Below are 14201 nucleotides of genomic sequence, written 5' to 3'. Positions count from 1 at the left end.
GCTAACTCAGAACCTCGTATGTACCAGGATATGATGTGTGATCAAGCAAGCCCGTGTGGGACAACTAGGGAAATATCTAAGGGATATCCAAGGAATATCTTAAGTAAACTAAGGGAATATCTCTGACCTTAAATCTCAATTTATAGGCATTTAGGTGATTAATACACCTTTTATCATCTCTGTGGAGTAGTTTTAAAATAATGTTTAGAAGGCTTACTGAATTCAAAAACAGACACATGTATTATTCCTGATAATTGCTCACCACACATAGTTCTGAAGACCACAGAAGAACATTCCAAGCTTCTTTGTGGATCTATTTTAGTGAAAGTATCTGAGCTTTAAATGTATTTATTTATTGAATATAAAAGTACGTAATTCCTTCTAGTTATTTATAACATATACAATACATAAAGAAGTTAATTTATGCAGCTCTTGGAAAACATATTTGTAAAAATTACAGCTTAAGGATTACAGATATTAATATATTATATTGAAAACTACATAGATTTCACAATCTAACTCAAATGTAGATTTTTTATGAATGTGTCTTTCTTAAGTTTGAGCCTTTAATTAAGTTTTACGACGTATATTTTCAAGTTAGAAAAATGAACTTGCCCCAGTGTGCTTTTTTAAAAATTGTCTAAATAATCCACAAGAGATTGTTCTAGACCAAGAATCTTACAGTAGTTTATAGTTTGCAGTGACAATCCTCTTCAAAATCCTTTAGATTTGAAAAATTGTTACCTCATTTATTTGTTCTGAAACTTTGCTTAACTTCCTTATGAGTTGCAGTATCAGTAATTGTGTATGATAAATTCAACAGCATAAGAGTAATTCTGCCTTTAAAGCAGCAGCATGAAATGGTCAAGACCTGCAGTATAACTTACCATATCTCCCCATGCCCAAAATTCAGTGACTTTCTGAAGAAGCTTGCTATTGCTTTATGAACAGGTTCAAAGTCTATAATACTCATCCAAATATGAGAGGTGTTCTGACAGAACTTCCCCATAAGGTAATTATTTAATAATCTTGTAAATACTGTTGGGAAGACTAGATTTAAAGTATAATTTTGTGATGTAGTATTTTTTCTTGGTATCTTAAAATATGTATTTTTTCTTTTTATTGTTGCTTATTGTGTTTATCTCATTTTAAATTAGCAAAACTCATGAAGGCATATTTATAAATAGTTGTAACTATGACTTTTAAAATCAGATTTTGAATCAGCCAGAAAAAAAGCGATGTGTTTTTGTTTTTTTGGTTTTTTTTACAAATGTTAGCACATCAGAATAGTTGTTAACATCAATGACTAAACGATTGACCAATGACAACATTAAGAAATGAGTGATCATGACAAATTCACCAAGTTACTTTCATGAAATGCTTCCAGAGGGCTGATTTTAAAATGTTTTAATTTTATCCCTGTTGGAAGTTTTCTTTTTTCTTTTCTTTCTTTCTTTCTTTTTTTTTTTTTTGAATAGGCTAAACTAATGATTTTCATTAGTGTATTTGTGATTTATGTGATTTTAGTAGGTTATACCAAGGTTAAATAATTTAAAGAAATAAACCCTTATCTGATATAAGATAGCTAATGAAGTATATTAGATACTTGCCCTATTGCTATATGAAGTGGATCTCCAAAGCTAACAACAGCTTTCTGCAGGAACACAAATCTCTATATAAATATCCAAATGTAGCAAGATGTTGCAAATTTTTAAAGATATGCCATAAAAATAGATTAACGCTAGTATGCAGTCCTGTTCAACTGAATTACAAAGGGATATCATGGGATTGCCAGTGACATTCACATAAATAAAAAATCAATTCTTAATGATGAGGCAGACTTGTTTTAGCGCATTACCCAGGTTAAATGAGAGCGCACAAAGACATCAACTCCTATAAGACTAGCGGAATCATTGTATATTAATATGATTTAGGGAGCTACACACCTCAATGGAATAATTGTTATTATATCTATAGAGCCAGATGGCACTTGGTGTAAACAGCCATTGAGCACCTCAAACACAAGTGTGGCAGGTGATCTTTAAGATGTTCTTGCATCCTGCTCACTCATCTTATCATTGGAATCTGCGTTACTGTTTGCAGAATGATTTGATTGCCAGTACGCAAATTTTTCAGAATGGTGCTGTTGTTCAATAGGAACCTAAGAATATAGAATGTCCTCAGCAAGAGAATAGATGAAGCAGAATAGATGAGGCAGCTGTCTGGATTTGTGTGGGTTAGCACTGAATTTTTTACAAGAAAGAGAACAGAGAGAGTAATTTTTTTTTCCAGCACCAGTGGCCCCAAAATTCAGAAATTTTAAAAATTAACTCTCAAATTTTCAGTGAAGTGGGCTTTAGTAATTACTATTTTCAAAGTAACCCCATGAAGGTGGTCAACAGGTATAAAAATTTGTGCTTGCAAAGTTAGAGAAATGCAAGTTCTGAGCAAAAGTTTATGATTTTGTTTTTGTTTTTGTTTTTGTTTAAGACAGGGTCTACTCTGTCACCCAGGCTGGAGTGCAGTGGTGCCATCATAACTCATTGCAGCCTCAAACCCCTCCTGCCTCAGCCTCCTGAGTAGCTGGGATTACAGGCGCATGCCACCACAGCCAGCTAATTTTTTGTCTTTTGAAACATTCTCACCATGTTGCCCAGGCTGGTCTCAAACTCCTGGCCTCAAGCGACCCTCCTGCCTTTGCCTCCCAAAGTGTTGAGATTACAGGTGTGAGTCACCACACCAGGTCAGAAGTGTCTTTAATTTTTTGTAAAATATTTTTCTTTTCTTTGAATATTTAAAATTGACTTCTGCTAACCCTAATTATCCAGTTACAGAAATCTCATTCATTTATTCAACAGATATTTACTGGGCACCTACTATGTGCCAGGTACTGTTCTAGGCACTGGAGATATGTCAGTGGAAAACCCTGCCTTCACATAGTTTGCATTCCTCAGGGGGCAATAAATGAAATGACATGATGTAATGTAAACTATGTGAGAAATAAAATAGGGAAGAGAGACAAAGTGTGCTAAGGTACAGTGTAAAGCTTAAGATTTGCCTTTCCTTCCTCAAGAACATAAAACAGATTATCCGGGAAGAATAAAAGAGGCTGGGGAAGTTCTTGTTTATCTTCTGACTTAATCGATCTTGTGAAATTCTAGTGCATTGTCTGATAACCCACCTGCTGTTATAGCCTCAGCTCAGCAGCCAGGGTTAAATAGTTGGAATGAGTGTTCAGTGTAAGCTTAGATTATTGGCTTGAATTAAATTTAATAATGTTACATAATTTTTTAATGGTTTTGTTTCTTTCCTCTGATAATAACATTAAAAAACATACCATCTTTAGTTACAAATAATTCTTGAATTGCCCCTTTCTCTACCTTGTAACCCATGTTTAGTTTCTAATCATCAAGGACATGAAACTGGCCTCATAGACGAATTGTTATCATAGTAGATTTAGTGGACTTTGATATCCAAACATATGAAACAGATTTTTCAAGTATCTAAAATAGAGAATGTGCCTCAAAATTTTGAGATCTTATAAATCCATCTGTCCCTTAATAATAAAATTCATACTAATTCTGAGAATATTTCCATCACCCACTTCAGGGTACTATTGACTGCTTAACTCCTGGATTTTAAACTAATGTTCAGTTCTTCAGCAGATGTAGTTTATTATATAACTGCAGCCACTCTTTAGGTGAAACATGGTACATGTTCTGAAATACTCCTTTAGTTTAGATGAAAAAATAAAATTCATTTTGTAATATGACGTAGTCTTCATTCAGGCTTACTTTTGATTAAATATTAATTTTTAAATATATATATATACTTATTGGTGCATAGATAAAAATACTGAAAGGATGTGTTCTAAAGTGTTAATAATGACTACAGATTACAACATAATAGGGCTAATATTTCTTTTTTCCTTGTACTTTTCTGTATTTTCATTTTTTTCTGTAATGAACTTGCATTCTTTTTGTAATCAAGAAAAAACACTCAGTATTATTTTATGAAAGCTAACAGAGCCTAAAAATTTATACTTCTGTTTAACACAACACCTCACAGCTGGCAAGTGAATGCAGATCAGTTTTTCAAATATCAGAAAGTAGTAGAAATCAGCAAACATTAATATTTAAATAATGCTGTGAAATTACTAATTTTACCTATTTCTATTTATTGTAGTTAAACAGTACAGTGCAAAATTTGATCAGTTTATCCCTTCTTTTATTTCCAAGATATCAAATTTTTTTTTAAAAAGTAGGCAGGAATTTTTTTAATGACATGCCAAATATACCAAATTTCATAAGGAAACATGTTTTTAATTTCAGGCCTTTGAATATGATATTACTCATAAGCATGAGTATTTATGAATATATAGGAAAAAGAGTCTTGAAAACTTTATTTCTTTTAGCAGTCAACAATATTTAGCCTATCAGAATGCTTGAATAGATAAACATTCCTACTGTTTTAATTTTGAATATAGATTGTCTTGTGCTGATGGGAAGTATTGTTAATTTTAATAAAATTAACTTTATATTGTTATTTCACCACTTTATAATAATTTTACATGGTGCCCTGGGGATGCCTCTGTTTTACATTATCAGGTGTCACATTTGCCATTTGGTTGGCATAGCAGCGTTCAGCTTCACTTCTCTGTTCAATTGCCTGAAGCCACACTATTCATGTTATATTACAAGTAGCTATTTTGCTATACACTGCACAAGTTTATATACTTTTATTTTATATGTATATATCATTCTTGTATTTTCTCAAAATCACTGTTTTGTGCTATTTCCCAGCATTTCTCTTGCTTGCCTTTAGGTAGACACGGTTATGATAACAAGTTGGCTAAGATTCCTAGCAGTCTGCCTCCAGTACTAAAATGTTTAAATTTCTTTTCTTTGCTTTGGTTTTTTTTGAGATGGTCTCACTTTGTCGCCCAGGCTGGAGTGCAGTGGCTCAGTCTCGGCTCACTGCAACCTCCATCTCCTGGGTTCAAGCGAGCCTTCTGCCTCAGCCTCCCGAGTAGCTGGGACTACAGGTGCACGCCACCATACCCGGCTAATTTTTGTGTTTTTAGTAGAGACGGGGTTTCACCATATTGGCCAGGATGGCCTTGAACTCCTGACCCCAGATGATCCACCCACGTTGGCCTCCCAAATTGCTGGGATTACAGGTGTGAGCCACTGCACCCAGCGTAAATTTATTTTCAATCTGGTAGTCAGCCACTATTTTGATAGATTCTTAGCCAGTGCTTCATTGTTTTTGATGAATTATAGCTTAAAAAACCCTTAAGATATAACTTCTTATAGAGAGAGAATTATTGCTATTTAAAAATAAGGGGAAATTATTGATGACTTTCATAACTCACTGTATGTCAGACAGATCACTGAGAGATAATTAATCAGAACACGCCTTCATTAAATGTTACCACTTGTCTTAAACTCTCCCATGAATTCATAGAAATCAGACTAGCAAATAATCAATTAGAGAATTCAATATTTGTCAAATTAAGTAACACTGTTACTAAATATACAGTAATTAAATTAAAGATATACCAAGTTCCTCTTGAGTCAGTCCATGTTTTTACCAATTTTTCTCTTTTTTAAAAAACACAAGTTTATGGCTTAGCTTTGAGCTCCATCTGCTTTGAATTCTGTTACGTGTTTTTATTATGATGCTATGTAAGACGTAAGAGAGTGCTAAGACATTTTGGTTAACTGTGTCAAATATTTACTGTGAACAATTCTAAATATACATTTTAAATAGGCTTTCTTTTCCACTTGCGTTTGTATATATGTGTTGATAAGCAAGCTGGTATATGAGACCTTATGTACAGCTGACGGGTATTTGACTGATAAGCTAATGAACTCTAGAGTCTGAGCAGCATTTAACTAACTGATAAATAATAGCAAGCAAACTAATCAATTTAACCCTGTTTTAGTACTTAATAGTCAGAGAGCAAATAAAAATTAGTACTGAGAAGTTTTTATAAAAGTATGCTTTATATTGGCATTTTTATTTTTCAGAAATGCCTCCTTTTTTTTCTTTCTTACCAAAAATTTCTGTGCCTAGTAGGAACTATGTTTCTGCTTTGAATTATACCATTATTCCGTGTTATTAGGAATCATATATCACTTCCTTTCACACCTTCGAGTTTAATATTTTGTGTACACTCTTTTAGTTAGAATCTTGGAACGATATATAATAGTTTTACCTTTGGTTCTACTAAAAAAAAATGTAATTACCCTGATATTCTCTTAAAGCCTAGGTTGCTTATTAGATATATTTTTCATTTTCTATTATTATTGTGAATTTTGTAGGTTTGAGGGATGTTGCTGACTATAGGTAATGAAAATGTCGAACCAGGTGGTAAGAGTCACTCCTGTGTTCTAGCTGTGGCACTGGCACAATTTGCCAAATAACTTTGATAAAGAAATTAAAATTATCTAGATGATTTTTATTTTATTTATTTATTTATTTATTTATTTATTTATTTATTTTTGAGACGGAGTCTTGCTCTGTCGCCCAGAGCTGGAGTGCAGTGACACGATCTTGGCTCACTGCAACCTCCACCTCCCGGGTTCAAGCAATTCTCCTGTCCCAGCCTCCCGAGTAGCTGGGATTACAGGCGTGCGCCAGCAAGCCCCGCCAATTTTTGTGTTATTAGTAGAGACAGGGTTTCACTATGTTGGCCAGGCTGGTCTCGACCTCCTGACCTCGTGATCCACCCGCCTTGGCCTCTCAAAGTGCTGGATTACAGGCATGAGCCACCGCGCCCAGCGAAAATTATCTAGATGATTAAGATGAGCAATATGAAGAGGAGTTATAAGAAAGTGGGGAAGCAACTAGTAAGCTGATTTCAAAGCCAAAAGAACTCTTGCTCTTGAGGAAGAAGTCGAGTGTGTGTGTGTTTGTTATGGGATGTTGTAGATGTTAATTTGCCTGTTGAATGCTTATATAACTTAGATCCACTCAGTAATTCCTAGTTGGTTGTTTGCCTCTGGCTGAATTCATAACCTTTATTTTTGCTTTTCTAGTTCAAATACCTAGAGATCCCACATATACTATTTGAAGTGTTACATATAGCAATTGCAATGGCAATATTATAGAAAATTGCAATTTTATAGAACATTGCTTTATAAAGGAAACTTGAAGTTAAGTTTGAGGAATTACATAATGAAATCTTCTGGGAGTATGTGGTTTAGGTATAATTACAAAAGTGAAAATATATAATTTATACTTGCACAATACCTCTCACTGAAGGTTATAAAAATAAATCTTGTTATATATTCCAGGCTTCACATTTCTTATATGCATCCCTATATGATTGAAACAGCCTTCCTGCTGTGGTCTAACAATAATCCCACATTCAGAAACACCTAAAATTTAGTCTTATACAGCAGATCTTCTCTGTAAGGTAAAATGAATGACACCTCATTTGTCTTCTTGTTTGTTTCTATGTTTTCTCCTTTCATCAAGCATTTGAGGTAGCCTCCCCAACCTGTTTAAGACTTTTCCCCAAGCTGAGTCACTGCTATCAGAAATTACTGTTGCAATCATTTATTGAGAGCCCTTTATGTGCTAAGCACTGTACTGGCTGTTTTCCATATAATATCTCATTTTAATTCTCACAGTAATTCTGTAAAGTAGATATTACCATGCCCATTTCATCAATGTGGACACTTGAGAATCAGAGAGGTTAAGTAACTTTCCTAAAGCCATACTGCTCAGCTGTGGCAAATCAGGAATGTTCATATACATCTGACTCCAAAAGTAAATGTCTGAGAAAACAAGGAACAGATTAAGGAGCAATATTCAGAATTCCTGTCTCCTTTTCTCACCACAGAATTGCACATAATGGCTGTTATGATTTCTGGTGGAGAAAAAAATGAATGATAAAAATGCAGCATTTGTTTAGGGTCAGAGGATCAAAAGGGCTCATAGGAAATATTGACATAGGGGCTCCCCTTTTTTTTTTTTTTTTCAGATGGAGTCTTGCTCTGTCACCCAAGCTGGAGTGCAGTGGCACGATCTTGGCTCACTGCAAACTCCGCCTCCCAGACTCAAGCGATTTTCCTGCCTCAGCCTCCTGAGTAGTTGAGATTACACGCACACGCCATCATGCCCGGCTAATTTTTGTATTTTTAGTAGAGACAGGTTTTCACCATGTTGGTCAGGCTGGTCTCCAACTCCTGACCTCGTGATCCACCCGCCTTGGCCTCCCAAAGTGCTGGGACTACAGGCATGAGCCACAGTGCCCGGCCAGGGCTCCCTTTTTCTCTCTAGACTCAGTATGACCAGAAAGAGGAGGTGGTATCGTATAAAGGAGAGGAGGTATAAGTAAGCTTTCTGCTCCTTTACTAGAATCACCACTCCCATCTTATTCCCTTATTCAAATATGTTGCTAAATGCCTCATTTCTCATACTTAATAACATCTTGGCCATAAAGCAAATACCATAAAAGAACATTTAGAGATGGCTGTGAGGATTTGGAGAGCTTAGAGAGTAAATGCACCAAAATCATAAAACATGGCCCTCTCTGTGCGTCAGAAGAGGACTCAGGCCTACTATAAGAGAAATCTCCATATATTAATAATTGCTCTATAGGCAAATCCATACCTCAATGTCTTTCAATATGGCTTTCATAAATCTCAGCAACTAAGAATTTCAGTGTGCTGAAAACTACCAATCTGGTAACCTGATCAGAGTTTAATGACTACTATAGGAGAATTGTGTTGAATTGTGAAGAAAATCCAAATGCTTTCAGTCTTACCATGTATGTCTCCACCAATTCTTTAGCAGCCCCTGAAAGGCAGGTCCTCCCAGACTTGGCTAAAGTCTGGTTTCCTTTAAGATTTCCAACCTTCTACAACTGCTAAAATATATGCTAGTTGACATAGATATGTTCTCTAGTTAAGGTGAGAGCAAAATTGTCAAAGATGTATAGATCCCTGCGTTACTTATAAAAAAGGGATATATTGAATATAAGTGTATTTTTTCTCACAACATGCCAACTGTGCTTTTTGGAAGCTGTTTTTGAACATGATGACAGAGTATGTCTGAACATAGAAGTCACCTGTGTACTCATATCCAAATCTCCTTCATAGATCATCACCTTTGAAATTGGCAGAACCCACCATAGGCCCATGTGCCTCTGAGTACATTGAAAAGAATGACATTTTGTAAATTACCTATGCTAAAATGGCAAACAGTTTTTCCTCCATGTTCTAATAACTACTCATGAGTGGTCTGTTTCAGTGTTTCAAACCCACCATAAAGTTTTTATTTGATATAGAATGTCTTAAGAGAAATTGGCCTCCAGAAATTATTTCTTATCTTTATTGGTTCTATTCGTGACCTACTTTTTAAAAACATTATTATAAAGGGTAGCCCCATTAAAATCAGAACAACTACAAATGTTTGCCATAAATGGAGTTGAATTGGCCAGTCAACAAGTTGGCAGCTCTTACTAGGAGAAGGGACTGTGTGGGATTTAGCAGGAAGGAGGGGGAAGCAAGTGGAGAGATAAAGGAAATCTTAGCAATATGAAAGGGAGGGAGCAGCTCCTTTACCTGTGAGCTGAGTTTAGGCTGGGCAAACAATTTCAAAGTTACATCCCAGGCATTCTAAGAGGAGTAGACAGAGAATGGCATTGAAATAAACTGAGTAATCATGGTGTTCCAAGAATGACAGGTGAGAGTCTGGGACATTAATCAGGGAGGGAAGTACAGTCTGATCTCAGAAGAGGAGGCTGGCTAGAGTCCCACTTCTGCCCTGGGGAACTAGCTAGGTACAAGATGCCCAGACAGAAGGGCCAGTTAGGCAGACTGAGAGCACATTGTCCTCCTTATTCCTAAGTTATTTCCCACCCAGAGGGAAACAGAATGGAGCAGCAGCTTGTATCCAGCCGTCGCTCACTTCAGAAGAGGAATCTATCCACCACCACTAAGATCTTCAAGAGTTAGTGAGATCCTGCCCCCTGCCTGCTGCTAGATTATAGTTAGAGTGAAATATAGCCAGTCAGCCAAGTCAACAGACATATGATCTCTGCTGTATGGTTGATTGGACCAAGGCTGATGCATCCATAGATGGCAGAGGTTATTATAAGCACCTAGAGTCAGAGTCTGAAAGGGTTAAATAACTTGCCCCAGGTCACAGACCAAGAGGAAGTTGAACTGTGATTTGAACCCATGCAGTCTGATTCCAGAGTTTATCCTGGCTTTAAGCACTATGCTATGCTGCCTTAATGATATATGCATCTAAATTTTATTATTATTTTATTTTTCTTATTACATCTGAATTTTAGATACAACTTTAAACATGTCTTCCCTTAGGAAACTTTCTCCAGCTCTGTATCATAGTCTACTCTAATCACTTTTCTCTGCATTCTCTCATCAGTTATGCTGGGTGGCAGGGGGAAGCTTGTTTGTCTTGACTCACAGCAGGAGTCTCTTGATATTACCTATATTTTACAAATGCCCAACACGTCTAAGCCACAACTTCATTGGTGTTTCTGTATTCAGGTAATTATTAAATTATATTCTGTCTCTGAAATAAGAGTTTGACTCTCCCAAACATCTTCTTAACTAGAAAATGCACTAGTTTGTGACTATTTTAGAGATCTCAAAGTACTTGCTTTTTTTAGCCAAACTGAGAAAATAATTACATGGAATTACATAATTGCTAAGAGTGGATGGCATTTTGTAGTTATTGTTCCCTCAGATGGGTGGGTTTGCATTTATCAGAGGAGCACAAAAATGTGCAATTTTCCTTACCAAAAAAAAAGGGCAGTTTCTTTTTTTCTTTTCTTTCTTTTTTTTTTGAGACCAGATCTTGCTCTGTCACTGAGGCAGCAGCAGTGCAGCGAGACGACCTTGGCTCACTGCAACCTTGACCTCCTAGGCTCAAGCAATCCTCTCACCTCAGCCTACTAAGTAGCTGAGACTACAGGCGTACACCACAATGCTTGGCTGACTTTTTACTTTTTCGTAGAGCTGAGGTCCCACTATGTTGCCCAGGCTGGTCTTGAACTCTTGGGCTCAAGCAATCCTCCTGCCTTGGCCTCCCAAAGTGCTGAGATTACAGGCATGAGTCACCTTGCCCAGCCAAAAGCAGTTTCTTAGTTTTGATAGTTATACTGTGGTTATGCAATATGTTAGCTTTGAGGGAACAGGGTGAAGGATAGATGAGAACTCTGTACTATTTTTGCAACTTTTCTGAAAACTTAAAATTATTTCAAAGTACAAAGTTAAAAAAAATAAGGCATTAGTTTGGGTAGAGGTGAGGAATGAATGGAGGAAAATAGAGGAAACAGAATTGGCCATGAGTTGATAATTGTTGAAGCTGGATGATAGCTACAGGAGGTTCATTACATTATTTTCTATACATTTGTACATGTTTAAACTTTTTATAATTTCTTAATCTAATAAAATGAAACAGAAAGGCATAAAAGAAAGTATTAAGTGCAGTTCAACTTTGGGTAAACATAAGAATTTTCCAAATGATATTGTTAGCTGAGACAAACTTATATTATTTTGGGATTTCTGTTTTCTTTACCATTCTTATCGGTGCATGAAGAATCAAGTAAATGCTTGTGTGATTTTTTTAACTGTAGAATATGTACTCTTAGTTACACTTAGCTGTTGTTCTTCAGGTTTTCCTTATTGCTGCAGTACTAAAAATATATGCATTAGATAAACTAGGATTTTTAAAAAGTTGTCTTGCCTGTCCATAAACTAGTAAATATTAATATTTATTTTTTGTCTGTTTTTGTTTTATTGTTTTTCTAAACAATATGAGTATGAGGGCATGCCTAATGGCATATATTTTCTCATTGATTTTATAATAAACTTATACTGTTCCAAAGATAATAAATTATACTAGATCAACACTTATGGGTAAGAGAAGTTTTCAGTGCCATGTTAAAACTTAAGCCATGGATCACTAGATGGTGGCCACAGTGTTAATTTCTTATTTTCTAAACCTCTCCTTTTAAAGATACCTAAATTAGATTTTCCTTACAAGTAAATTCCCTTAATTTGTTTGGAAATATAAAGGTTTTTCTTTAAAGCACAATTTGAAAGCACGCTGCCTCTGCCTGCCAGCCTAAATGAGCAGCATTTGATGTGCGATCAGGCAGTCTCCACTTGGAGAGCATCACAGGCACTAGGAGCAGTGAGAAGAACCCCATCAGGGAGTGCCATGACAATGACAAAGAGCTTCATGGTTTCTTATTGGGCACCAGTAGACTGAAGTGCTTTAAAACTTGAGCTCTGGGCCAGGTGCAGTGACTCACGCCTGTAATTCTAGCACTTTGAGAGGCCGAGGTGGGTGGATCACGAGGTCAGGAGATCAAGACCATCCTGGCCAACATGGTGAAAACCCATCTCTACTAAAATACAAAAAATTAGCCGGGCATGGTGGCATGTGCCTGTAATCCCAGCTACTTGGGAGGCTGAGGCAGGGGTATCGCTTGAACTCAGGAGGCAGAGATTGCAGTGAGCCAAGATCACGCCACTGCACTCCAGCCTGGCAACAGAACAAGACTCCATCTCAAAAAATAAAAAATAAATAAAAATAAAAAAGTAAAAAAACCTGAGCTCTGGGTTTAGACTGCCTAAGTCTGAGTACAGGTTCTGCCTTGAGTGTTTATAACAGCTTTATTCACTGAAACTGAAAAGAACCCAAGTATCCATCAACTGGTGAGTAGATAAACAAATTGTGTTTCTATTCAGCAATAAAAAGGGATAAACTACTGATACACACAACTACATGGATGAATCTTAAAGGTTTTATGCTAATTAAAGAAAGCCAGACATAAAATATTAGATACTATATGATTTCATGTATTTGACATCCCTAAAAAGTCAAAGCTATAGACACAAAAATAGATCAATGATTGGCAAGGCCAGTGATAGAAAGAGTGGATTGACTACAAAGGGGCAAAAAGGAGCTTTTCAGAGTGATGGAAATATTCTATATCTTGATTTGGTAGTGGTTATACAACTACTATATATATATGTATATATTTGTCAAAATTCATTAAACTGTACATTTAAAAAGAATTGTGTTTTTTGTGTGTCATTTTTTGTTGTTGTTTTTTGTTTGTTTTTGAGACAGAGTCTCACTCTGTCACCCAGGCTGGAGTGCAGCCTGTCATCCAGGCTGGAGTGCAGATCTCGGCTCACTGCAACCTCTGCCTCCCAGGTTCAAGTGATTCTCCTGCCTCAGCCTCCCAAGTAGCTGGAATTACAGGCGCCCACCACCACAGCCAGCTGATTTTTGTATTTTTAGTAGAGACGGCGTTTCACCATGTTGTACCATGCTGGTCTCAAACTCCTGACCTCAGGTGAATCCTCCCACCTCTGCCTCCCAAAATGCTGAGATTCCAGGCATGAGCCATAGCGCCTGGCCAAGAATTGTATTTTATGTAAATTATATCTCAATAAAGTATTTAAAACCAAACATACAAAATATGTTTTCCAGAACTCTTTTTGATTTGTCTAGTTTCCATAAACAAGCTTATTATTATTGCTTTAGATCATTTTTCTTTCTAGAACCAAGCAATATATGAGTTCTTTCCATGAGAAATAAGTATATTTTCTTCTCTGTCTGCTCTCTTCTGATAAAACTGTATGACAACAGGGCCCCAGGGAATGAAGATAGCAAAGGGACCTTGGGTTAAATGCTGGCCTTAGGAGACAAGCTCTTAGAAGGAACTGTGAGCACAGGAAAGAAGGATTTAGGGAAAATGGAAGCTGGCCCAGGCTACGAAGAGAGAAAGACCCAAGAACAGAGTGTTGGTGGGCCATAGGAATGGAGGAGATGGATGAGATGACCCCGTTGGGGAAAGGGAAGCTAAGAGAGTGGAATGAAATATACTTCTTTAGGTAACACAGCCCTCGAATTAACATGTTTACACATTCATGACACCCAAGTGGCTTCAATTTCTCGGCAGTGGAATTTATCACATAATTAGGCTTTTAGAAAAAAATTCATTTTTTTCCATTAAAAAACCTGACAAATGGTCCACATGTATCATTTGGACACAGGTCACATTACCCAGATAATGAACTCTTTCATGTAAAATTTCCAGTAGATTTTTAACATGCAAAGTCCTCCTCATATGTTATCCTGCATTGATCCGATTGGAGCTGTTAGTGTCTAGTGGATCAATGATCAGCAAACTAAAAAGT

General features: G+C 36.4%; 1 protein-coding gene across 10 annotated transcripts in view; it reads left to right on the top strand.

Annotated features, from left to right (window-relative positions):
* Nucleotides 1-14201, top strand: part of SKAP1 (src kinase associated phosphoprotein 1) — a 311620-nt gene that overhangs the window by 151457 nt on the left and 145962 nt on the right. The window lies entirely within an intron of this gene.

This window comes from Homo sapiens, chromosome 17, assembly GCF_000001405.40.
Source record: "Homo sapiens chromosome 17, GRCh38.p14 Primary Assembly".
Taxonomy (NCBI): Eukaryota; Metazoa; Chordata; class Mammalia; order Primates; family Hominidae; genus Homo; species Homo sapiens.
Note: the sequence above shows the minus strand (reverse complement) of the source record. Positions and strands in the feature narration are given on the sequence as shown.